The 24,159-nt window shown below is 40.7% G+C and overlaps 1 protein-coding gene across 5 annotated transcripts in view; it reads left to right on the top strand.

Annotated features, from left to right (window-relative positions):
* The window catches only part of TXLNB (taxilin beta), a 164,789-nt gene that overhangs the window by 84,238 nt on the left and 56,392 nt on the right, over positions 1-24,159 (top strand). For all 5 annotated transcript variants that reach the window (XR_007059217.1, XR_007059220.1, XR_007059216.1 and 2 more), the window contains exon 11: positions 456-627. The gene's annotated coding sequence lies outside the window, so the exon portion shown is untranslated. The remainder of the gene's footprint in view (positions 1-455; positions 628-24,159) is intronic.

Below are 24,159 nucleotides of genomic sequence, written 5' to 3'. Positions count from 1 at the left end.
CAGCCTGGGCAACATAGTAAACCCCCATCTCTACAAAAAATGTTTTAAAAAAATTAGCCAGACATAGTGGCACATGCCTCTGGTCCCAGCCACTTGGGAAGCTGAGGCAGGAGGATCGCTTGAGCCTGGAAGGTTGGGGCTGCAGTGAGCCATGATCATGCCACTGTGCTCCAGCCTGGGTGACAGAGTGAGACCCTGTCTCAAAAAAAGAAAAAATGTCACTGAGGCCTATAAGAGAGAAGCACTGGAAACGGAGTACCCAGGGCTAATAAGAAAACAAAACCCAGACTCCTCTGCCTGGCTCTGCAGTGCTGGTGGACAGTGCTCACCCAGCTGATATGTTTCTCAGTACCAACCTCCCACGAGACCACGTTTCCACAGGCTTCTCTGCCGTGCGTCCTCCTGGAGGAAGGGAGGAAGCGTAGAAGGTGCCGATGCACTTTTCCTCTCTCCAGCCCTCCTGACTGCTCCAAGAATTTCATCGAACAAGACTCAAAGAGGCCCAGCTGCTCTGCGTTTTGATTCTTCTCCCTCTCTCAGTCCACACTGACCTGGGAGGGGCTTCTCAAACACCACATTTCCTAGCGTGCTGTGAGAAGAGGACTGTGAGCTAAGAAGGGAGAAAAGGTAAGACCTGCCTGTAAGACTGATTTTGCTCCTTTTGGCCTGGTATTGACGTACACGTTTTAAATAGCCCCTTTTTTGAGATGATAAAAGTAACATGTGTTCGTTGTAAAACTGATGCTGCTTTTCAATAAGACCAACAAGAAACAGGAGAGGCAGATGGTTTCAGGACAATTTTCCTGGCCCATTCTCCTCTAACCAGTAGTTAAATCCAGTATTTGGGAAAGTAAAATAATTTAAAATGTAAAGAATTTGCTAATGGAAGATGTGAAATGAAAATAAGGACTCTGGCCTCCGAAGTTCATTCTCATCATAAAGTGGCAAGGAGGGTTTCACAGGCGAGTGAGGCATAAGGGTTCAATTTTCACAAGGTTTAAATAATTTCCATTTCTGTATTTTAGAACTTGAAAATTAAGGTTATCATCCATAGAGCACTCTGTTGGAACAGAAGTTTTCATGTGATAATAATGAAGATTTTTCTCAACGCTATTAAGTTGTATCCTCAATACTGACGTTAAGTCTCTTTGGTGGTTTCTCTTGATAAAAGTTCTACAAATGCTAGCTTCTGTCACATGTGCGTGTGAATGCACACACACATACATATACATAAATACGGAGGTATAAAATTTGACCTAAGTTTAATTCTGGTCCCATTGATGAGTATTTACACTAATATTTTCTTTTTTCTTTTTTGTGAGACTAAGTCTCACTCTATTGCCCAGGCTGGAGTGCAGTGGCGTGATATCGGCTTACTGCAACCTCCACCTCCCAGGTTTAAGCCAGTCTCGTGCCTCAGCCTCCTGAGTAGCTGGGATTACAGGCACCTGCCACCATGCCCGGCTAACTTTTGTATTTTTAGTAGAGACGGGGTTTCACCGTGTTGGCCAGACTGGTCTCAAACTCCTGACCTCAAGTAATCTGCCTGCCTTGGCCTCCCAAAGTGCTGGGATTGCAGGCGTGAGCCACCATGCCTGGGCTTACACCAGTATTTTCAAAGGATACTTAGTATTATCTTTCCTGACAAGAACAAACTATAAAAAAGAATCATTTCCACCAAATAAGGATATTTGGTAGAAACACTTAACTAGCAAAATAAACCTAGAAATTCATTGATCTATGGCACAAAAATTATTCACAGAAGCTACTTCACCTGGCCAGGAGATAACAAAAAGGATAAATTATTTCAACAGCACAATCAAGCTCAGCTAAACCCAAATGCAAGTCCTTCTTCCTGCTGAATTTTAGAGCCCAGGATTTCTATTCATACCAACATCTATTCCACTTTGACTTTTTTTTAAGTGATATAATGTTCAATTACCTCAAATCATAACTAAAACATACCGACGTGTAAAACTCATTATTTCAGAACTGACAGTCAGTTGATGACATTTTATGTCAAATAACACAAAAACTACTTGCTAGAAGCCAAGCAGGAAGACATTATGTTACAAGAGGAAAAGGAAATATTTTCAATCTGATAGCTATTGTGTCTGTTACATATGTATATATGTTATAGGTAAAATATCTAGAATAGACACATTACATCATTTCTTTTTCTTTTCTTTTTTTTTTTTTTTTTTTAGATGGAGTCTCTCACTCCATCCCCCAGGCACTGGACTGCAGTAGTACGATCTTGACTCACTGCAACCTCTGCCTCCCAGGTTCAAGCGATTCTCCTGCCTCAGCCTCCCGAGTAGCTGGGACTACAGGCATGTGCCACCACACCCAAAATAAAGATATTTTGTATCTTTAGTAGAGACGGGGTTTCACTGTGTTAGCCAGGATGGTCTCGATCTCCTGACCTCCTGATCTGCCTGCCTCAGCCTCCAAAAGTGCTGGAATTACAGGTGTGAGCCACTGCACCCGGCCAATATACTACATATTTTCAAAAAAATGTGAAAGAGTTCAAATCTATAAGCTATTATATAGAGGGTAAGATCTTAAGATAAGATATGACATATAAGATAAAACCGTAAGACTATTAAGAACAATGAAAGGAAGAGGGACATAAACTGATGAGCCCTTTTGGGGAAGCAGGATAGCAATAAAAAGCCCAACCCATGATGACCTTAATACACTTTAACACCACAGCTCCAACCTGGAGAATTTTTACGCACAGGGTTTGTAGGGTTGCTGCCTTGTTTTCTTATTTGTGTTTCTTTTAGAATAATAAAGGTGGTCAGGCACAGTGGCTCAGGTCTGTAATCAAGGACCTTGGGAGGCCAAGGTGGGTGGATCAGGAGGATCACTTGAGCTCAGCAGTTGTAGATCAGCCTGAGCAACATGGCAAAATCCCATCTCTATAAAAATTACAAAATTAGCCAGGTGTGGTGGCAGGCACCTGTGGTCCCAGCTACTTGGGAGGCTGAGGCAGGAGGATTGCTTGAGCCTGTATATTAGTCTATTTTCACACTGCTATGAAGAAATACACAAGACTGAGTAATTTATAAAGGAAAGAGGCTCGACTCACTGTTCTGCATGGCTTGGGAGGCCTCAGGAAACTTAAAATCATGGTGGAAGGCAAAGGAGAAGCAGGTGCCTTCTTCACAGGGCAGCAGGATGCAGTGAGTGCAAGCAGGGGAAATGCCAGGTGCTTATAAAACAATCAGATCTGTGAGAACTCACTCACTATTGAAATGGGAAAAGTTCCCTTATCCCCATTGCAGGACATGTGATGGGGGTGTGGCTCGCTTCTTTGGTGCCCTACTGCTCATACCCTTAGGGGAGCATGCAGAAGGGCAGGTCGTGGAGAGCACTGACTCCACAGCAGCATCTAGGGTTGAGTGTTTACAGCTCTGGAAGCCCCAGTGGACGTGTGTTACAGTGCACTCTTTCAGTTTAGCCGTCTGCAGGTGGCTTGCATTAATCAGCTCAGTTAGACTCTCTGACTTATCACAAGGACAGAGGGCTTTCTCTCTCCTGGGTTCTTACCTTAGTGTACCAGAAAAATTGGATCACACGTGGGCTTAGAGAATAAGTGCAAGGTTTTACTGAGTGGAGGTAGTTCTCAGTGAGGTGAATGGGGAGGCCAGAAGGGGGAAGGAGTGGGAAGGTGTCTTCCCCTGGAGTCAGGCTGCCCAGCGTCCGGACTCTTCTCTGACCATCCCCAGCCAAATTCCACATTGTTCCACTGTTGATGGCCTACCAGCATTTGCTGGTGCCTGTCGGTGTGCTCTTCCGCTCCTCTGCTCTTCTTGACATCCAGCTGCCTGTGCGTTCTTCCGCTGATGTGTTCCTCTTGACATCCAGCAGCTGTGTCTTCTAGGGTGTCAAAGTTTTTATAGGCACAGGAAGGGGGGGCGTGGCGGGCCCGGATGGTCTTGGAAAATGCAGCATTTGGGCGTGAAAACAGGAGTGCCTGTCCTCACCTCGGTCCCTGGGCACAGGCTCGAGGGTACAGCCCTCACCAGGGACCCTGCCTTTCTCTACCAGCACTTCCCTGCCCCCATCCCATATCACTATCATAAGAACAGCATGGGGGAAACCACCCCTGTGATCCAATTACCTCCACCTGGTCCCACCCTTGACAGATAGGGATTATGGGGATTACAATTCCAGATGAGATTTGGGTGGGGACACAGAGCCAAACCATATCATTCTGCCCCTGGCCCCTCACAAATCTCATGTCCTCACATTTTAAAACATAATCATGCCTTCCCAACAGTCCCCCAAAGTCTTAACTCATTCCAGAATTAACCCAAAAGTCCAAAGTCTCATCTGAGATAAGGCAAGTCCCTTCTGCCTGTGAGTCTGTAAAATCAAAAACAAGTTAGTTACTTCCTAGACAAAATGGGGGTATAGGCATTGCATGTGTTCCTCTTGACATCCAGCCACTGTGTCTGCTAAGGTGTCCAAGTTTTTATAGACACAGGATGGGGGATGTGGCAGGCCAGGGTGGTCTTGGAAAATGCAACATTTGGGTGTGAAAACAGGAGCGCCTGTCCTCACCTAGGTCTGTGGGCACAGGCCGGAGGGAATACACCTATTCCAAATGGGAAAAATTGGCCATAACAAAGGGGCTACAGGTTCCATGTAAGCCTAAATCCAACTAGGTAGTCATTAAACCTTAAAGTTCCATAATGATCTCCTTTGACTCCATGTCTCACATCCAGGTTATGCTGATGCTAGAGGTGGGCTCCCGTAGCCTTGGACAGCTCCACTCCTGTGGCTTTGCAGGGTGCAGTGCCCTTCCCAGCTGCTTTCATGGGCTAGCATTGAGTGCCTGTGGCTTTTCCACGCACATGGTGCAGGCTGTTGGTGGATCTACCATTCTGGGGTCTGGAGGACTTTGGCCCGCTTCTCACAGCTCCACGCTCCACTAGGCGGTGTCTCAGTGGGGACTCTGTGTGGGGGCTCTGACCCCACATTTTTCTTCTGCACTGTCCTAGTAGAAGTTCTCCATGAGGGCTCTGCCCCTGCAGCAAATTCCTATCTGGAAATCCAGGCATTTCCTTATATCCTTTGAAATCTTGGCAGAGGTTCCCAAACCTTAATTCTTGACTTCTGTGCACCCACAGGCCCAACACCACGTGGAAACCACCAAGGCTTGGGGCTTGCACCCTCTGAAGCAATGGCCTGAGCTGTACCTTGACCCCTTTTAGCCACTGCTGGAGCTGGAGCAGCTGAGATGCAGGGCCCCATGTCCCAAGGCTGCACAGAGCAGTGGGGCCCTGGGTCTGGCCCACAAAACCATTTTTTCCTCCTAGGCTTCCAGGCCTGTGATAAGAGGTGCCGCTATGAAGGTCTCAGACATGCCCTGGAGACACTTTCCCTATTGTCTTGGTGATTAACATTCAGCTCCTCATTACTTATGCAAATTTCTGGAGTGTTTTAGCAGGCTTGACTTTCTCCCCCCAAAATGGGTTTTTATTTTCTTTCACAACATCTGGCTGCAAATTTTTCAAACCTTTATGCTCTGCTTCCTCTTGAATGCTTTACCCCTTAGAAATTTCTTCCATAGATATCCTAAATCCTCTCTCTGAAGTTCAAAGTTCCACAGGTCTCTAGGGCAGGGGCAAAATGCTGCCAGTCTCTTTGCTAAAGCATAGCAAGAGTGACCTTTACTCTAGTTCCCAACAAGTTCTTCATCACCATCTGAGGTCACCTCAGCCTGGACTTCATTGTCCATATCACTATCAGCATTTTGGTCAAAGCCATTCATCAAGTCTCTAGGAAGGGAATTCCAAACTTTCCCACATCTTCCGAGCCCTCCAAACTGTTTCAACCTCTGCCTGTTACCCAGTTCCAAAGTCACTTACACATTTTTGTGTATCCTTATAGCAGCACCCCACTATCTTGGTAACAATTTACTATATTAGTTCATTCTCACACTGCTATAAAGAAATACCTAAGACTGGATGATTTATAAAGGAAAGAGGCTTAATTGACTCATAGTTCTGCATGGCTGGGGAGGCCTCAGGAAACTTAACAATCATGGCAGAAGGTGAAGAAGAAGCAGGTACCTTCTTCACAGGGTGGCAGGACAGAGTGAGTGAGTGCAACCAAAGGAAACACCAGACACTTAAAAAACCATCAGATCTCATGAGACTCACCAAGTCCAGGAGGTCAAGGAAGCAATGAGCCATGTTCCTGCCACTGTATCTAGCCTGGGTGACAGTGAGACACTGTCTCAAAAAAAATATCTATCTATCTATCTATATTTATTTATATATATATAAATTTATATAAAAATATATATTTATTTATATATATATAAATTTATATAAAAATATATATTTATATATAGTAAAGGCAGTCTCTTATAAAAATAATAAAATTACATAATAAACATTCAGAAAATAGAGAAAACTTACTCATAATTATATCACTCTAATTTAACCACTGTCAGCATCCAGTATATAAAATAGTGCATTTTAAATTATTTGAATGTGTTTTTAAGTTTAACATTATGTTAGTTTGGCTTTTAGGGAGGACACAGTAGTACAGGTGAGAATGATAGCTATTAATAGGTACCAGATTTGAGTGTTTACATTGTGTAGTAAAATTTTATATATTTCACTTTATCATAAAAACATGGAAGCATATTATATTATTTATAGAATAAACATGACTATGTAAATACAAATACCCAGCATTCATACATGTTGTTACAAAGCTTTTCCACACATTGTACTTAAAGATTTCAACACACACATACAGGTTTCCACATAAACCTCCTGGACATGGGGTAGAGCAAGATATTTAAACTCAACACAGCTCAAAAAATAAATAAGAGACCAACTCAGGAAAAATACGAATGTGGTAAATAATAAAACAAGAGAAAAAGTCAAACTGTTTATGAAGTGACAGGAAAGATGATAATACCATAAATCATAGCATTGGCTAAAGGTCAGGGTTCTAAAACAAATTCGAGCATTTCAAAATTGATGAGACAGTTAGTGGTTTTGTTGCTCTAGGGAAATGATAACCAGCATTATCTGTTTCATACCTATTAAGTAGAGCACGGATAAAAACTGTCAAGAGCCTGAGATTGCTCTAATATATGTACTAGGAAGATGTAACAAGCCATAAAGTATTCAGAAATCCCATATACAAAGAAAATTTCAAAGTCAGAGTTCAAGTTTATAGAACTAGTGCGACAGGACTACTTTAATCATATCTGAAGTCATGAGATTAAATATATATTAGATGAGAGTACTACAAGTATAATATGGTTTGGCTCTGTGTCCCCACCCAAATCTCATCTTGAATTGTAATCCCCATAATCCCCAGTGTTGAGGGAGGGACCCGGTGGAATGTGATTAAATCATGGGGGCAGTTTTTCCCATGCTGTTCTCATGATAGTGAGTGAGTTCTTATGAGATGTTTATAAGTGTTTGACAGCTCCTCCTTCATACAAGCTCTCTCTGGCCTGCCACCATGTAAGATGTGCCTGCTTCCCCTTCTGCCATGATTGTAAGTTTCCTGAAGCTTCCCCATGTCCAGTCCCAGCCATGTGGAACTGTGAGTACATTAAACCTCTTTCCTTTATAAATTACCTAGTCTTGGGCAGTTCTTTATAGCAGTGTGAGAACAGATTAATACACAGTGTGATACCACAGGCCAGATTTATTAGAATATAGTAAATGCTCTACCCAAACCAGTATAATTCCTCACAGTCAGACTATTGTAATGCTCTGAGTAAAGAAATTCACGTTCATTTGTCTTCTTAACATTCTTATCAACAAGTTATTCCTGGAATAAAAGTATCCAAGTTTAATCAAGGATAGTACTCATCCAGGAATCAGCCTATTGAATGCTTAGTCCCTGCTCTGCTGCCAACTAGCTGGGTGACTTTGGAGAAATTGCTTAACATCTCTGGGCCTCAGTTAACTCACCTATAAGATGAGAACCTCAGACTAGAGATTCCTTACTAGATATGTAAGGATTTTGGTGTCTCCAATTAAAATCTCAAGAGATTATGAAGTTTCCCCACCTCCAGGGAGAGTTTTATTCTATGAGACCTGCACGTCATTTGGGTTACTTCTGTTAAGTCAGGCAAGAAAAAGGAGACAAGAAATTACTCATATAATTTCTTTTAAGTTTAAAAATTAAATAGGGAAAGATGAAGGATTTATTCAACATACATTGAGGGCCTTCTCTGCATGAGGTTCTGTGCTAGCCCCTGGAATGACAGTGGTTACAAGTCTAAGCAAAGTGTTTCACGACCACCCACACCTTGACCCTGTCTGCTCCAGATCAGAGCACCTTGTTGTGTGACTCAGGCCTGATGACTCCTTCCACTTCCAGTGCTAGGAACTCAGCACCGTGGGAAGGGCCTGGAAGAGACTCTGGGCTGTCTCATTCACCCCAAAATGTTCAGCAACTAAAAAACAAGAAGGAAAACTCTGACAGCATGTTTATTAGAAATGATACCCAGATCTCCAAGTAGAGAGTGTAGGTTCTTGCTAGAGAATGGGGGTTTTATGAAATGTGTGTGTGGTTATTTGTGTGTTCATGTATTTATGTGTCAGTGTGTACTTGTGTGTGAGGGTACGTATGAATATTTGTGTGTAAAACGTGCCGGTATGTGCAGTTTTCTGGGAGTGCATTGTATGTATGTAGTTCTATATGAATGCTTGTAGTTGCATGTGACTCTATTTATGCATAATAAAGTAATGGAGCCTATGTAAGGGTGATGGTTATATGCAAGTTTACAATGTGTATGTGTTGGGGCTGGGAACTGAAAAGCTGAAACACTGCAGATGTAATTTGAGTCATGTGGCTAGCTACTTTTTCATAGGATCCCATCTTGCTGCAGACTTTTGTTTGCTCAACTAATCCTCTTTTGCTTACAATGTCACAAGGCTCACTTTTTTTGGCTTCTGAACAAACAGGCAGGTGTGTGAGGCTGCAAGTATAGTGTCAGCTATTCATGAAATAATTGCATGCACCACCAGCCCAATGTGACAGTCATCATGGACTCACAGCTCCATCCCCAGGCAAGAAAAGGAGTATGTCTTGAGAAATTCTCCATGCCATTCCTCACAGAGACCAGCTGCAGAGCATGGAGCACAAGAAGTGGTAGCAAACAGGCTAAATTGATTCTGGCCTGCCTAAGCGGAGAGGAGCTCTTCAGATGGTTACTATCTTTAACTAGGGTGACGTCCTTGGAGGCGGAGTCCCAGTCTCCTTTTTCTCTGCTATTATCCAGCTGAAATCAAGCCCCTGAATAGTTTCCCTGAACCAAAAGCCAAAGAGAAATAGTGTCCAATCCATTTATGTTTTAATCAGTGAGTCAGAAGGTAGTAAACCAGGACTGATTGCAGATCCTACTGGCCTATCAGCCATGCCCATAACTCATTCTTTGTGCCAAGAGATTTTTTGCTGTGATACAATTCATCTCCCCAAAATATTTAGCACTGACTAGCTATATAGTTGTAGGTGGACCATCTGGCTTCTCCCTTGCCCATTATTAGAAAACCGATATTGAAGTCCTTCAATTCAGTCTGGGAGTAATTTAAAGCAATACCAAGAGGAAGGAGAAGGAGAGCTTTTTATAACAAACTAATTGTCTGCCACACGTGTTAATTAATAATCTTCAAAAGTTAAAGGGAGCAAAATAGGTAAACATAAATAAAAGCCAAGGATAGATTGGGAGAATATAGTCACAGTAAATACAACGAAGCATTAACGTCCAGGAAAAAAAGAAATAGTACAAAGTAATAAGAAAAGACAACTCAGAAGAAAGTGGGCAAGGGCAATGGAAGATGGGGTGGGAGGTGCATTGTCTATCAGAGAATATTTAATGGTAATAAGACCAACCACAAGCCAGTCTGCTTTTTATTGTCACCATGCACAGCAGTCCCAAATAATGTGAGTGGTAGTTTTCCTCCCTGCCAGAGATGATCACACCCGCTGTGTGTCCCACCCTCATTTCTAAGCTCCTGGCATGGGATGTGAACGGGCAGTTTGTAGAAGAAGAAATACAAATAACTAAAACACATCAGGTAAATAAAAATAAACAGGCCAGGCATGGTGGCTCACACATGTAATCCCAGCACTTTGGGAGGCCAAGGCGGGCAGATCACCTAAGGTCAGGAGTTCGAGACCAGCCTGGCCAACATAGTAAAGCCCCATCTCTACTAAAAATACAAAAATTAGCCGGGCGTGGTGGCAGGCACGTGTAATTCTAGTTACTTGAGAGGCTGAAGCAGGAGGATCACTTGAACCCGGGAGGTGGAGTTTGCAGTAAACCAAGACCACGCCATTGGTCTCCAGCCTGGGCAACAAGAGAGAAACTCCATCTCAAAAATAAATAAATAAAATTTTAAAATGACACACAATCACTTTTGCTCATTAGCCTGACAGAACTTTCATACTGATAATACCCAGTATTAGAAAGGATGAGGGCAAATGGGTATACTCAGAAACTGTCAATATGGTATTGGGTCATCTGTCCTTTTCTCGTACATTTGTAGGAGTTCTTTCAAAGGGCAATTTGGAAGTATTGATTATCTTTCCCTAATGTGCAAAAATAAAAATTATTTAGCAAAGAGCAGACATATCGCTTTTTCCTGCCCATGTCCCTTCCTTGGAAAAAATACTTTGTCCTGGATACATGCAGTCTGGATGGGGCCATCAAGCACAGAGCCCTACCCACTCACCCAGTCCTGGCCTCAGGAGACGGGCCTAAAACAGTGTAACACTTGATAGAGTATTTAGTTCAAAGACAGTGGCAGCTCCAGAACTGCCATAGAAGAGGGCTTATGGACTGCAACTGGGTTGAAAGTGGGGCAGGAGACTATTTGGCTTGTCATGAAGTTGCACTTTCACACTAATTTTATTCATACGTTATCTGGGGGTTTGTGTGAACTGAAGCCACTCCGATCCAGTGTGCTCGCCCACGTGTACCAAGTGGGGTCCAGTCTAACCTAGCTATTGGGTTTTTTTCTGCTGTAATTCTGCCTACCAAGAGGAATCACCTGCAGGTAGAATCAAGCCAAGAGGAGGTGAGTGGAGTTGCAAGAAGAGAAACTTAATCCTGGTAACCATATTTCAGCCCCTGGAACATGTTGGTCTTTTTAGATCCATTAACTTCCCTTTTTTTTTTTTTTTTTTTTGAGATGGAGTTTCACTCTTGTTGTCCAGGCTGGGGTGCAGTGGCATGATCTCAGCTCACTGCAACTTCTGCCTCCTGGGTTCAAGTGATTCTCCTGCCTCAGCCTCCCAAGTACCTGGGATTACAGATGCCCACCACCATGCCCAGCTAATTTTTTGTATTTTTAGTAGAGATGGGGTTTCACTATGTTGGCCAGGCTGGCCAGGCTGTTCTCAAATGCCTGAACTCAGGTGATCCACCCGCCTCGGCCTCCCAAAGTGCTGGGATTACAGGTGTGAGCCACTGCGCCCAGCCTAGTTTCCCTTTTTAAGAGGGTATGGTTGCGTTGCTGGATGGGTTGCTGTCATCTGCATCCAAACAGCAATGAGTAGCAGAGATGAGAAGAAGCATGAATGGCTACACCATGGTGGCACACCAAAAGAAAAGAGGTCTAAATTCTAATAATTAACTTCTATGGAAATAGTTCCAAAATCTCATTTCTCATTTTAATTTCTCAACATATCTTTAAAAACTCTTTATTGCAAAAATGATGATTTATTACAAAGTGAATTCTCACATGTAACCCACCACCTGGGTCAAGAAATAGAGCATAGTCAAGCATCCTACAGGTTACCCCTCCCTCCTTCTTAGAGAAAAGCACATTTGTTTTGCCTGTGTGTGTATATGAGTGCCTGTGCGTGTGTGCATTTGTGTGTGTAAGGGGGCTGTTTTTTGTTTTTGTTTTTACTTTGTGAAGTTATCCTTTTATGTCTGGCTTCTTTTGCTCAAAACTATCTATGTGCAATTCATCCACGTTTTGGCTTGTAGGAGTAGTTCATTGATTTTCATTGTCATATAGTGATCTATAGTATGAATATACCACAACTTATCTATTCCGATGTTGACTGACATTGGAATTGTTTCCAATTAGTGTCCACTACAGATAATGTTGCTGTGATATTTCCTATGTGTATATGTAGGAGATAAATTGGTGGGTTATATGACATGTGTCTATTTCAGATATAGGAGATACTACTAATCAGTTTTCCAAATAGATTGTAACAATAATTTCAACTACCAGTGTATGAGTGTTCCCATTGATCTATGTCCTCCCCACACATCATGTATCAGTTGTTTTCATTTTAGCCATTTGGAAGCGTATAGTAATATCTCACTGTCGTTTTTTTTTTTGTTTGTTTTGTTTTGTTTTTGAGACAGAGTCTCACTCTTTCTCCAGGCTGGAGTGCAGTGGTGTGATTTTGGCTCACTTCAACCTCCACCTCTCGGGTTCTAGCGATTCTCATGCCTCAGCCTCCTGAGTAACTGGGATTACAGGCACACACCACCACACCTGGCTAATTTTTGTATTTTTAGTAGAGACAGGGTTTTGCCATGTTGGTCAGGCTGGCAAAACTCCTGACCTCATGATCCTCCCACCTCGGCCTCCCAAAGTACTGGGATTACAGGCATGAGCCACCACACCTGGGATCTCACTGTAGTTTGTTTTGTTTTGTTTTGTTTTGAAACAGAGTCTTGCTCTGTCTCCCCAGCTGGAGTTCAGTGGTGCAATCTCAGCTCATGGCAACTTCCACCTCCTGGGCTCCAGGAATGCTCATGCCTAAGCCTCCCGCGTAGCTGGGACTATGGGCGTGCACCACCATGCCTAGCTAATTTTTGTATCTTTTGTAGAGACGGGGTTTTGCCATGTTGCTCAGGCTGGTCTTGAACTCCTGACTTAAGTGATCTGCCTGCCTCAGCCTCCCAAAGTGCTGGGATTACAGGCATGAGCCATGCACCTGACCCTCATTGTAGTTTTAATTGGCCTTTCCTGATGACTAATGAGGTTGAGCACCTTTTTCTATAGTTATTGGTCAGGCGTATAGCCTCTTTCGTGACATGCATATTCATGATGTTTTTTTCCCTCATTTCCTATGGTTTATCTGTTTTTTCTTGTTCATGTGTAGTAATGCTTTATATTTCTGGAAAGCAGTACTTTATTACTTAACAATTACAAATCAGTTCTGCTATGCTGTGGTTTACCTTTTTATTCTCTTAATATACTTTGATTAAAAGAATTTATCAATTTTAATAGTGTTCAATTTATCAATCTTTTACCTTTTTTGACAAATACATTTGTATTTTGTTTTTGTCATCTTTGTGCTACTTTAGTCATAAATTGAATGTTCAGGTGTATGTGTGTCTTTCTCTCTCTCTCTATCTCTTTTTTTTTTTTTTTTTTTTTTTTTGAGACAGGGTCTCACTCTGTGGCCCAGTCTGGAGTGCAGTGGCGTGGAGCAATCTCAGCTCACTGCAACCTCTGCATCCTGGGCTCAAGTGATCCTACCACCTCAGCCTCCCGAGTAGCTGGGACTACAGGCACGCATCACCAGCCTGGCTAATTTTGGTATTCTTAGTAGAGACAGGGTTTCTCCATGTTCTCCAGGTCGGTCTTGAACTATTGTGCTCCAGCGATCCACATGCCTCAGCCTCCCAAAGTGCTGGGATTACAGGTGTGAGTCACCGCACCTGACCTATGTGTGTCTTTTTTCTAAACTCTATTCTGTTCAGTTGATTTGTTTATCCTTGCACCAATACCACATAATTTTAATTACTGTAGCTTCATAATAAATCTTTATAGCTGATAATGTAAGTCTTCCTGCTTTGGTGTTCTTCAAAGTATTCTTAACTTCTTAGCCCTTTTACTTTCATATATAATTTAGAATCAGCTTGTCAATCTACACACACAAACACACACACACTGGGGTTTTCATGGGGATTGAATTTAATGTATAAATCAATTTGAAGAGAATTGAGGTTTTCACAATATTGAGTTTTCCAATCCAGGAATGTGGTAAATATCTCAATTTATTTAGTTCTTCTTTGACTATTTTCAGTAACATTGTATATTTTCTTGGTGTCTTTGTTTATTTTTCATTAGGTTTAATTCTAGATGTTTGATGTTTTATGATACAATTGAAAATGACATAGTTATTTAAATTTCACTTCCTATTATTGTTTGCTGCCGATATACAAAAATATAATTTTTTTATGTATTGGCTTTGTAGCTAGCAACTTCATCAGATCCACTAGTTAATTACAATAGGCTATTTGCAGATGTTTTTGGATATTCTAAACACACAATCATGTCATCTAGAAATAATGGCATTTTTTTCTCCCTTTCCACTCATTATCTCTTTTATTAATTTTTCTTGCATTATTGTACTTGGAAGAACTTCTTGTAGAATTTGAATGTTTATGGTGATACTGGGCTTCTTAGCTTATTCCTGATCTCAAGGGAAAGCTTACATATTTTGCTATTAAATAGAATGTTTACTCTATGGCATCTGTAGACATTTTCTATCAGATTAAGGACATTCACTTTTATTCCTAGTTTGCTATGAGTGTTTGTCATAAATAGGTGTGAATTTTGTCAAATGCATTTTCTGTGTCTATTTAGATAATCATGATTTTTCTCTTCTGTTAACAAGGTGGGTTACAGTGATTGATTTTCAAATGTCAAGCTAACTTTACATTTTTAGAACAAATTCAGGTTGGTAAAGAAGTAATATTCTTTTTACATTACTGGATTTGGTTTGCTAGTATTTTGTTTAGGATTCTTGCATCTATGTTCATGGGAGAGATTCTTTGTAATTTTCTTTTTTTACAACGTTCTTGTCATTATAAGTTGGGAAGTATGCCTTACTTTTCTATCTTGGGGGAAAAGTTTGTGTATGATTAGTGTTCTTTTTTTTCTTAAATATTTAGAAGAATTCTTTGGTTAAGTTATCTAGATCTGGAGTTTTTTGTGGAAAGGATTTAAATTGTGGATTTAATTTTCTTTAATATATTTTCCATTTTCCCTGTCAGTTGTGGTATGCTATATTTTTCAAGATATTAATCTATTGCATCTAAATTTTCATATTTATTGGCACAAATTGTTTATTCTCTTAATTTAAAAAATCTTGTAATATCTGCAGTATTTTCCACTCCTGATAGTAATTGTCTTCTCCCTATGTCTTATCAGAACGCTATCAATTACAATGTTCACAGACCAAATATTTTTTTTTGAAGTTTTAAATATTTATTTATTTATTAATTATTATTATACTTTAAGTTTTAGGGTACATGTGCACAATGTGCAGGTTAGTTACATACATATACATGTGCCATGCTGGTGCACTGCACCCACTAACTCGTCATCTAGCATTAGGTATATCTCCCAATGCTATCCCTCCCCCCCTCCCCCCACCCCACAATAGTCCCCAGAGTGTGATGTTCCCCTTCCTGTGTCTGTGTGTTCTCATTGTTCAATTCCCACCTATGAGTGAGAATATGCAGTGTTTGGTTTTTTGTTCTTGCGATAGTTTACCGAGAATGATGATTTCCAATTTCATCCATGTCCCTACAAAGGACATGAACTCATCATTTTTTATGGCTGCATAGTATTCCATGGTGTATATGTGCCACATTTTCTTAATCCAGTCTATCATTGTTGGACATTTGGGTTGGTTCCAAGTCTTTGCTATTGTGAATAGTGCTGCAATAAACATACGTGTGCATGTGTCTTTATAGCACCATGATTTATAGTCCTTTGGGTAGATACCCAGTAATGGGATGGCTGGGTCAAATGGTATTTCTAGTTCTAGATCCCTGAGGAATCGCCACACTGACTTCCACAATGGTTGAACTAGTTTACAGTCTCACCAACAGTGTAAAAGTGTTCCTATTTCTCCACATCCTCTCCAGCACCTGTTGTTTCCTGATTTTTTAATGATTGCCATTCTAACTGGTGTGAAATGGTATCTCATTGTGGTTTTGATTTGCATTTCTCTGATGGCCAGTGATGGTGAGCATTTTTTCATGTGTTTTTTGGCTGCATAAATGTCTTCTTTTGAGAAGTGTCTGTTCATGTCCTTTGCCCACTTTTTGATGGGGTTGTTTGTTTTTTTCTTGTAAATTTGTTTGGGTTCATTGTAGATTCTGGATATTAGCCCTTTGTCAGATGAGTAGGTTGCGAAAATTTTCTCCCATTTTGTAGGTTGCCTCACAGACCAAATATTGGCCTTTGTTCTTCTCTATTTTATTTTCTCTATTGTACATTTGTTTTCTATTTCATTCATTGTGTTAATTTCTTCATACTTAATTTGTTGTTCTTTTTCTCATTTCTTGAGCTAGAGTCTTAGATCATTAATTTTCTTCCTTCCCCATCCCAATAAATGCATTTAAGACTACCTAAGAATGGCTTTAACTGCATCCCACAAGTTTTGATCTACTATGTTTCTTATCACTCCATTCAAAATATTTTTAAATTTTCTCTGTGATTTCGTCTTTCACATATGTTTAAAAGTGTATTGATTCATTTCTAAACATTAGACATTTTCTACTTTTATCTTTTAATTAATAGTTTAATTGTGTTACAGTCATGGACTATACTATATGATTTAAATCATTCGAAACATGTTGAAACTACATAGTTTTGCATACAGTCAATCTTGGTAAATGTTCCGCCTGCAGTTGTTGAGTGCAGGCAGTGTTCTATATGTATCAGTTAGGTCATTTTATTAATCCCGTTGTTCAAATCTTCTTTAACCCTGTTGATTCTTCATTTGTTTATTTATTTTTGGTCCATTGACCAAAATATTGACCAGTTTTTGGTCCATTGACCAATAAATTTGGTCCTATCAGTTAAAGCTCTTACTATCAGTGTAGTTTTTGTTTTTGTTGTTATTGTTGTTGTGTTTTGAGATAGAGTCTTGCTTTGTCACCCAGGCTGGAGTGCAGTGGCGCAATCTCGGCTCACTGCGATCTCCACCTCCCGGGTTCTAAGCGATTCTCCTGCCTCAGCCTCTGGAGTAGCTGAGATTACAGGTGTGTGCCACCAGGCCCGGCTAATTTTGTATTTTTAGTAGAGACAAGGTTTTGCCATGTTGGCCAGGCTGGTCTCAAACTCCTGACTTCAGGTGATTCACCTGCCTCGGCTTCCCAAAGTGCTAGGATTACAGAAGTGAGCCACTGCACCCAGCCCATTGTAGATTTTTATATGTCTCCATTTTGTTCTATCAGGTATTGTCTTATTATTAGGTGTATAAAAATTTATACTAGCGATATCTTTATGTTGGATTGGCCACTTTATTATGAAATATCTATTTTTATCTGTAGTATTGCTTATTGCCTTAAAATCCACTTTGTGTGATATAAGTATGAGCTTATATAAACATGATATAAACATGATATAAGCTGATATAAACATGAGCTTTCTTGTGGTTAATATTTTCATGCTGTATCTTTCTCCACACTTTTATTTTCAATTTTCCCAAATTATTTGAATTTGCAATATGTACTTCTGTACAATATAGAGTCTTGTTTTATGTTGTTTGCTTTATCTAGTCTGACAATTTTTGTCTTCTAATTAGAGATTTTGATTCATATGTATAAAATTAAACTCACCACCTTGCTATTTATTTTATACTTGTGCCATCTGTTTTATGTTTATTTTTATTCCTTTCTTTTTAAATTTTTTTGGACTTTGGATTATATATTTTTATTATATTCCCCTCTCTGTTAGCTATTTTTAGTTATTCAATCTTTCCTTAAGCTTTTAGTGGATACCATAGGCATTTCAACATTCATCTCTGACTTATTAAAGTCTAATGAAAAATATTATTTTGCCACTTCCTGGCCAAAGCAAAGCCTTAGAACATTTTAACGCCATCTAATCCTTTACTCCTATCTTCTGATTCATCATCCAGTTTATGATCATTCTCTCTTCAATTATATCTAAGCCACTGTTATACCAATCCATTGAGTTCTTAATTTCAGCTATAATATTTTCCAGTTTTAGACATTGTATCTTATTTTTTTATAGTTTCCAGTTTTCTTGTACAATGCTCTATCTCATCATTTAATTTATTGAATGTACAAATCATCATTATCTTAAACTCCACGTCCGATCATTGCAATATCTGGATATCTTAAGTGTTTTTTACCTTGGTTTTCAGCAATTTTGCCTAGAGATATACCAGATATTTTTTGTTCGAATGCAGGGCAGTTTCTGGAGAAAAAAAAAGAAAGAAAGAAAAATGGAGATGATTTAAATCTCTGGAAAGTGTTATCTTCCTGAAGAGAGTACTTATTTTAGCTTCCAGCAGGCAGTTAAGATGGAACCAATTATCTTACCCAATCATAAACTGAGGTGATTTGAAGTTGGGCTTCAGACTTTTTAGGGAACTTTATTTTCTGCAGTGTAATTGTTTGAGGGTCCCAACTAAAAGCATGGAGTGTTTGCCAGGGCCCTAAACCATTAACTAGCTCTAAAATCCAATTTTTGTTTCTGATGCCCCATGAAACTGTGGGATGCTTTGCTTAGCGTCTCATCCTCTCAGTCACAGGTTGCATATTTGCAAGAGCGTTCAAGGGGAAAACCAGTCCCAATGTTACTTCATTTCTCTTTTTGCTTTTCTTGACCATTTCAAGTTTTTGTTGCCTAGCTAGCTCTCCAGTGCCTTCCAACAGACATTCTACCTGTTTTATCAAGTTCTCCTAGTTCTTGGATGCAGGGTTACCCTGCAACAACTGATTCTACCCTTACAAGAAGCAGAATTCCCATCCAGCTTGTCTCTTGAGCATCAATTTCATTATCTTGAGATTCTGAAGATGCATCGTATTTCCTTTGAGCTCTAGTATTTGGGCTCTATGATTTCGGCTCCTCTGAGTTTCTGTTTTATTTAAGAGCCAGCTATGGAGGACCAGGTTTGTTATTTTAGCTAAGATTTTGACCTTTATCATTATCTGATATAATGCAAATATTAAAGGTCAACCACGGTTGAAACTGGGCAAGTAAGTTTTATCCTATGTGCCAAAGAATCTGTCTGAGACCAAAACTGGTCTGGAAGGAAAGTGTGCCACAATAAGTTAATAACGCCAACCCTAGAAGGAGGGGAAGGGGCAGCACATATGCCAGGCATTTGTCAGACGCAGATATGATGACACACATATGGATCCAGCTCTCCGAGGAGCTACTTTGTATCCACTTAAATTTGAGAGACTCATGGCTACCTCACTCCTGCCTCCCTTTGGATGGTATACAAGGATTCACTAAAATGGCAGATATTCACCCCATAAACTAAAGTACTAGCAAAAAACAAATCCCAGTGACTTGTGGTTTCCCATCACTTTGTGTGAGAAGTTTGAATTAAATAGAAATTAAATAGTCTGTTCAGGCTTCTATAACAAAATACCATAGACGGGGTGGCTTACAAACAACAGAAATTTATTTCTTGCAGTACTAGAGGCTGAGAAGTCCAGTATCAAGGTACCAGCAGATTCAGTGTGTGGGAGATCTGCTTCTTCATAGACAGCCATCTTCTCATGGTGACTTCACATGGCAGAAGGGGCAAAAGATCTCTCTGAGGTCTCTTCTATAAGGGCACTAATCCCATTCATGAGGGGTCCACCCCCATGATCTAATTATCACCCAAAGGCCCCACTTCCTAATACCATCAGTTTGAGAGTAAGGATTTCAACATATGAATTTGAGGGGGACACAGTCAGTCCATAATATCAGTTGAGATTCAGCTGTCAGGAAATGAAGGGTAATTACGGTGACCATATTTTCTAAACCGCAAGTGAAAATGCAGTTGGACAAAGCCTAATACTCTTATATCAGCAAGAAAACAGAACATTAGAAATCAAGACTGACCAGGAAAAGCCAGCTCATAGGTATAACAAATATAATTCTGCCACCAGTTCAAGATACTCTAGATTTTTGCTGACTTGGTTTCAAGATGGGTCTTTAGAGAGTTTTCCATATTGATGAGATTTTCCAGCCCAGAGTTATAAGAAGGAAAGGCCTGCCTGCCGTCTCAGCCTCCCAGCTGCTCCCAGACACATCTGTGGGGAACCAGATAACTGACTCCTAACCTGCTTATTTTAGCCCAGTGGCTTCGCTTCCTGACGTCTCCAGTCTCATGGTCACATTCCAAAGGCCCTCACTCTGAAACTGCCTGCAAGCAGGGACAAACAGCAGCAGCTGCCACCGCACTGATAATGGGTTTGTGTTGCTGCTTGCCCAGAAAGGCTGCTTTGAGCTGATGATTTGCATTCCTGCTTGCCCAAACATACAGCCTCCGTGCGGCTGCCAGCTTCTGCACAGAGAGAACAGCAGTGCCACCTACTGAACCGCTGGAGATGTAGCCAGTGACTTGGTCAGCTCAGGCCTGCTTGTCACTAAATCTGGCAGGACTGTATACCCAGCAACTGGACTGAAAACCACCTTTGTACAGTGATTAAGTAGGCCTCCTCTTCTGCCAACTTGAGTGATTGTTTACCACTGTTAGGCTGAAAAAGTCTCAAGGAAGTTTATTTTTCTCTGAACAAATGAAACCAAATTGCAGTTGGGATCCAGGCTGTATCCCACTTCAGTGAGAAATGGGCAAGCCAGCAATTGTGGAGTTGAACATTGAATACAATTAGTGAGTACTTACCCTGTGCTAGACAGTGGGTGAGGCACCGGGATAGAAGTATGAATGAACTACACTAGACAAGCAATAGAAAGATAACGAACCTATACCAGTATTCCACAATTGACAAAATATACTCAAAGAACTCAGCCACAATTTACACCACAGAGAGTATATCTCCAGGGATGGAATTTGGGGGAACCAGCTTTCTATTTTCCCATGGGTTCCATTGCTGCTGTTGCCAAGCTGAGATCCAGAAGCCATGATGACTTCTTCAATGGTTTTTTGGGTTTTTATAAATCATCAATTAACAAATAATATTATGGAATCTTTTTTTTTTAGACAGAGTTTTGCTCTGCCACCCAGGCTAAAGTGCAATGGTGCAATCTCAGCTTACTGCAACCTCCACCTCCCAGGTTCAAGCGATTCTCCTCCCTCGGCCTCCCAAGTAGCTGGGATTACAGGCATGCTCCACCATGCCTGGCTAATTTTTTGTATTTAGTAGAGACAGGGTTTCACCTTGTTGGTCAGGCTGGTCTCGAACTCCTGACCTCAGATGATCCACCCACCTTGGCCTCCCAAAGTGCTGGGATTACAGGTGTGAGCCACCACGCCTGGCCTATATTTGGAATCTTCTTCACAAAATTGCTGCTTTGCAGATGCCCTAAGTATCTGCTTGGCCTTCCTCTTGGAAAATCTTACCTGGACAACTCTCAAAGTGCTAAATCTTTTTGCAGTATTCACAAACTCATCTATGTGTGTTAATAGCACATTTCTGACAATTATTAATAAAGTATATTTTATATGTTTTTGGTGTCTAATAACATCAGAAAACCTTACTTAAATATGTGCATACATACAAACGTACTTGTACTTGCTTATGTAAGTTAGTAATTAAGCACCCTATTAAGTCGAGAACCCAACACATACTGAATTGGTCACACATTTGCTGCTGAGCAGCAGAAGCTGAACACCCTAAAGGGGACCCTACCATACTGAAAGACACTAATGCTTCAGCCACCGTGTACAGCTGCCATCCAATCATAGTCTAATGAGTTATGCAGGTGTGACTCCTCCTCTAAAAGGAGAGACCAGGTAAATACAAATTATTGGAAATGGGCAAATCAGTGTCATGTTGGACACAATGTTCATAGCTTTAAGACTGATTGCAATATTCACAAACTAAGCTAAAATTTCTTTTTCTTTTTTTTTTTTTTTTTTTTTTTGAGACTCTTGCTCTGTCGCCCAGGCTGGAGTGCAGTGGCATCATCTTGGCTTACTGCCACCTCCGCCTCCCAGGTGCAAGCGATTCTCCTGCCTCAGCCACCCGAGTAGCTGGGATCACAGGCAACTGCCACCGTGCCCGGCTAATTTTTTGTATTTTTTAGTAGAAACAGGGTTTCACCGCGTTAGCCAGGATGGTCTCGATCTTCTGAGCTCGTGATCTGCCCTCCTTGGCCTCCCAAAGTGCCAGGATTACAGGTGTGAGCCGCCACGCCCAGCCTAAGCTAAAATTTCTTAAACTACTACTGTGAAAATTATATGTGAAGCAGGATGAAGCAGACGTTAATCCTGCTAAAGTGTCTGGTATTTTACTATGATTTTAGTTTTGAAGTGGGCAATAATTTAAATATTATGCATTAAATATTTACATTAGCTCTTATTTTCACTCATAAATATTCAGTTGTCATATTTCCTACACATCCCGACTCCCTTCTTTTTGCAAGCTTCTGTGCAAAGTGGCTTTGCAAACATGTTTCCACTCAATCTTTCAGCTGCTGACTTCATAGATTTTTCTTATATGACTTATTCTTTGATTCCCATGATGCAGTCAAAAGGGAGGTTTTCAAGTACTAAATGTGTAAGCGCAAGGCTGCTGTCAGCTGCTACAAGTCCACATTTAGCCATTAGGTCTGCTGCTAGGAGAACAGGCACACACCACCCTGGACATCTCTCAGAACCTTCCACAAAATTCTGAGACCACTCCAGGCCTCATTCTCGCCAAAATACCTGCACGGTTCTAAGGATAGGCATTGTAGCTTATCTAGGTCCCTTTGTTTGAATTTTTATTTTATTTCAATAGTTTTTGGGGTACACGTGGTTTTTTGTTATGTGGATAAGTTCTTTAGTGGTGATTTCTGAGATTTTGGTGCATCAGGTACACCCGAGCAGTGTACACTGTACCCAATATGTAGTCTTTCATCCCTAACCCCCTCCAACTCTTCCCTGCAAGTCCCCAAAGTCCATTATATCATACTTATGCCTTTGCATCCTCATAGCTTAGCTCCCACTTATAAATGAGAACATATGATGATTGGTTTTTCATTCCTGAGTTACTTCACTGAGAATAATGTCCTCCAGCTCCATCCAAGTTGCTGCAAAGGCCATTATTCCGTTCCATTTTATGGCTGAGTAGTATTCCATATTGTCTATATACCACATTTTCTTTTTTTAAAATTATTATTATTATACTTTAAGTTTTAGGATACATGTGCACAACGTGCAAGTTTGTTACATATGTATACATGTGCCATGTTGGTGTGCTGCACCCATTAATTCGTCGTTTAGCATTAGGTATATCTCCTAATGCTATCCCTCCCCCCTCCCCCCACCCCACAACAGGCCCCAGTGTGTGATGTTCCCCTTCCTGTGTCCATGTGTTCTCATTGTTCAATTCCCACCTATGAGTGAGAACACGCGGTGTTTGGTTTTTTTGTCCTTGCGATAGTTTGCTGAGAATGATGGTTTCCAGCTTCATCCATGTCCCTACAAAGGACATGAACTCATCATTTTTTATGGCTGCATAGTATTCCATGGTGTATATGTGCCACATTTTCTTAATCCAGTCTATCATTGTTGGACATTTGGGTTGGTTCCAAGTCTTTGCTATTGTGAATACTGCCGCAATAAACATACGTGTGCATGTGTCTTTATAGCAGCATGATTTATAATCCTTTGGGTATATACCCAGTAATGAGATGGCTGGGTCAAATGATATTTCTAGTTCTAGATCCCTGAGGAATCGCCACACTGACTTCCACAATGGTTGAACTAGTTTACAGTCTCACCAACAGTGTAAAAGTGTTCCTATTTCTCCACATCCTCTCCAGCACCTGTTGTTTCCTGATTTTTTAATGATTGCCATTCTAACTGGTGTGAGATGGTATCTCATTGTGGTTTTGATTTGCATTTCTCTGATGGCCAGTGATGGTGAGCATTTTTTCATGTGTTTTTAGGCTGCATAAACGTCTTCTTTAGAGAAGTGTCTGTTCATATCCTTCGCCCACTTTTTGATGGGTTTGTTTGTTTTCTTGTAAATTTGTTTGAGTTCATTATAGATTCTGGATATTAGCCCTTTGTCCAATGAGTAGGTTGCAAAAATTTTCTCCCATTCTGTAGGTTGCCTGTTCACTCTGATGGTAGTTTCTTTTGCTGTGCAGAAGCTCTTTAGTTTAATTAGATCCCATTTGTCAATTTTGGCTTTTGTTGCCATTGCTTTTGGTGTTTTAGATATGAAGTCCTTGCCCATGCCTGTGT

This window comes from Homo sapiens, chromosome 6 (genome assembly GCF_000001405.40).
Source record: "Homo sapiens chromosome 6, GRCh38.p14 Primary Assembly".
NCBI classification, from domain to species: domain Eukaryota; kingdom Metazoa; phylum Chordata; class Mammalia; order Primates; family Hominidae; genus Homo; species Homo sapiens.
Note: the sequence above shows the minus strand (reverse complement) of the source record. Positions and strands in the feature narration are given on the sequence as shown.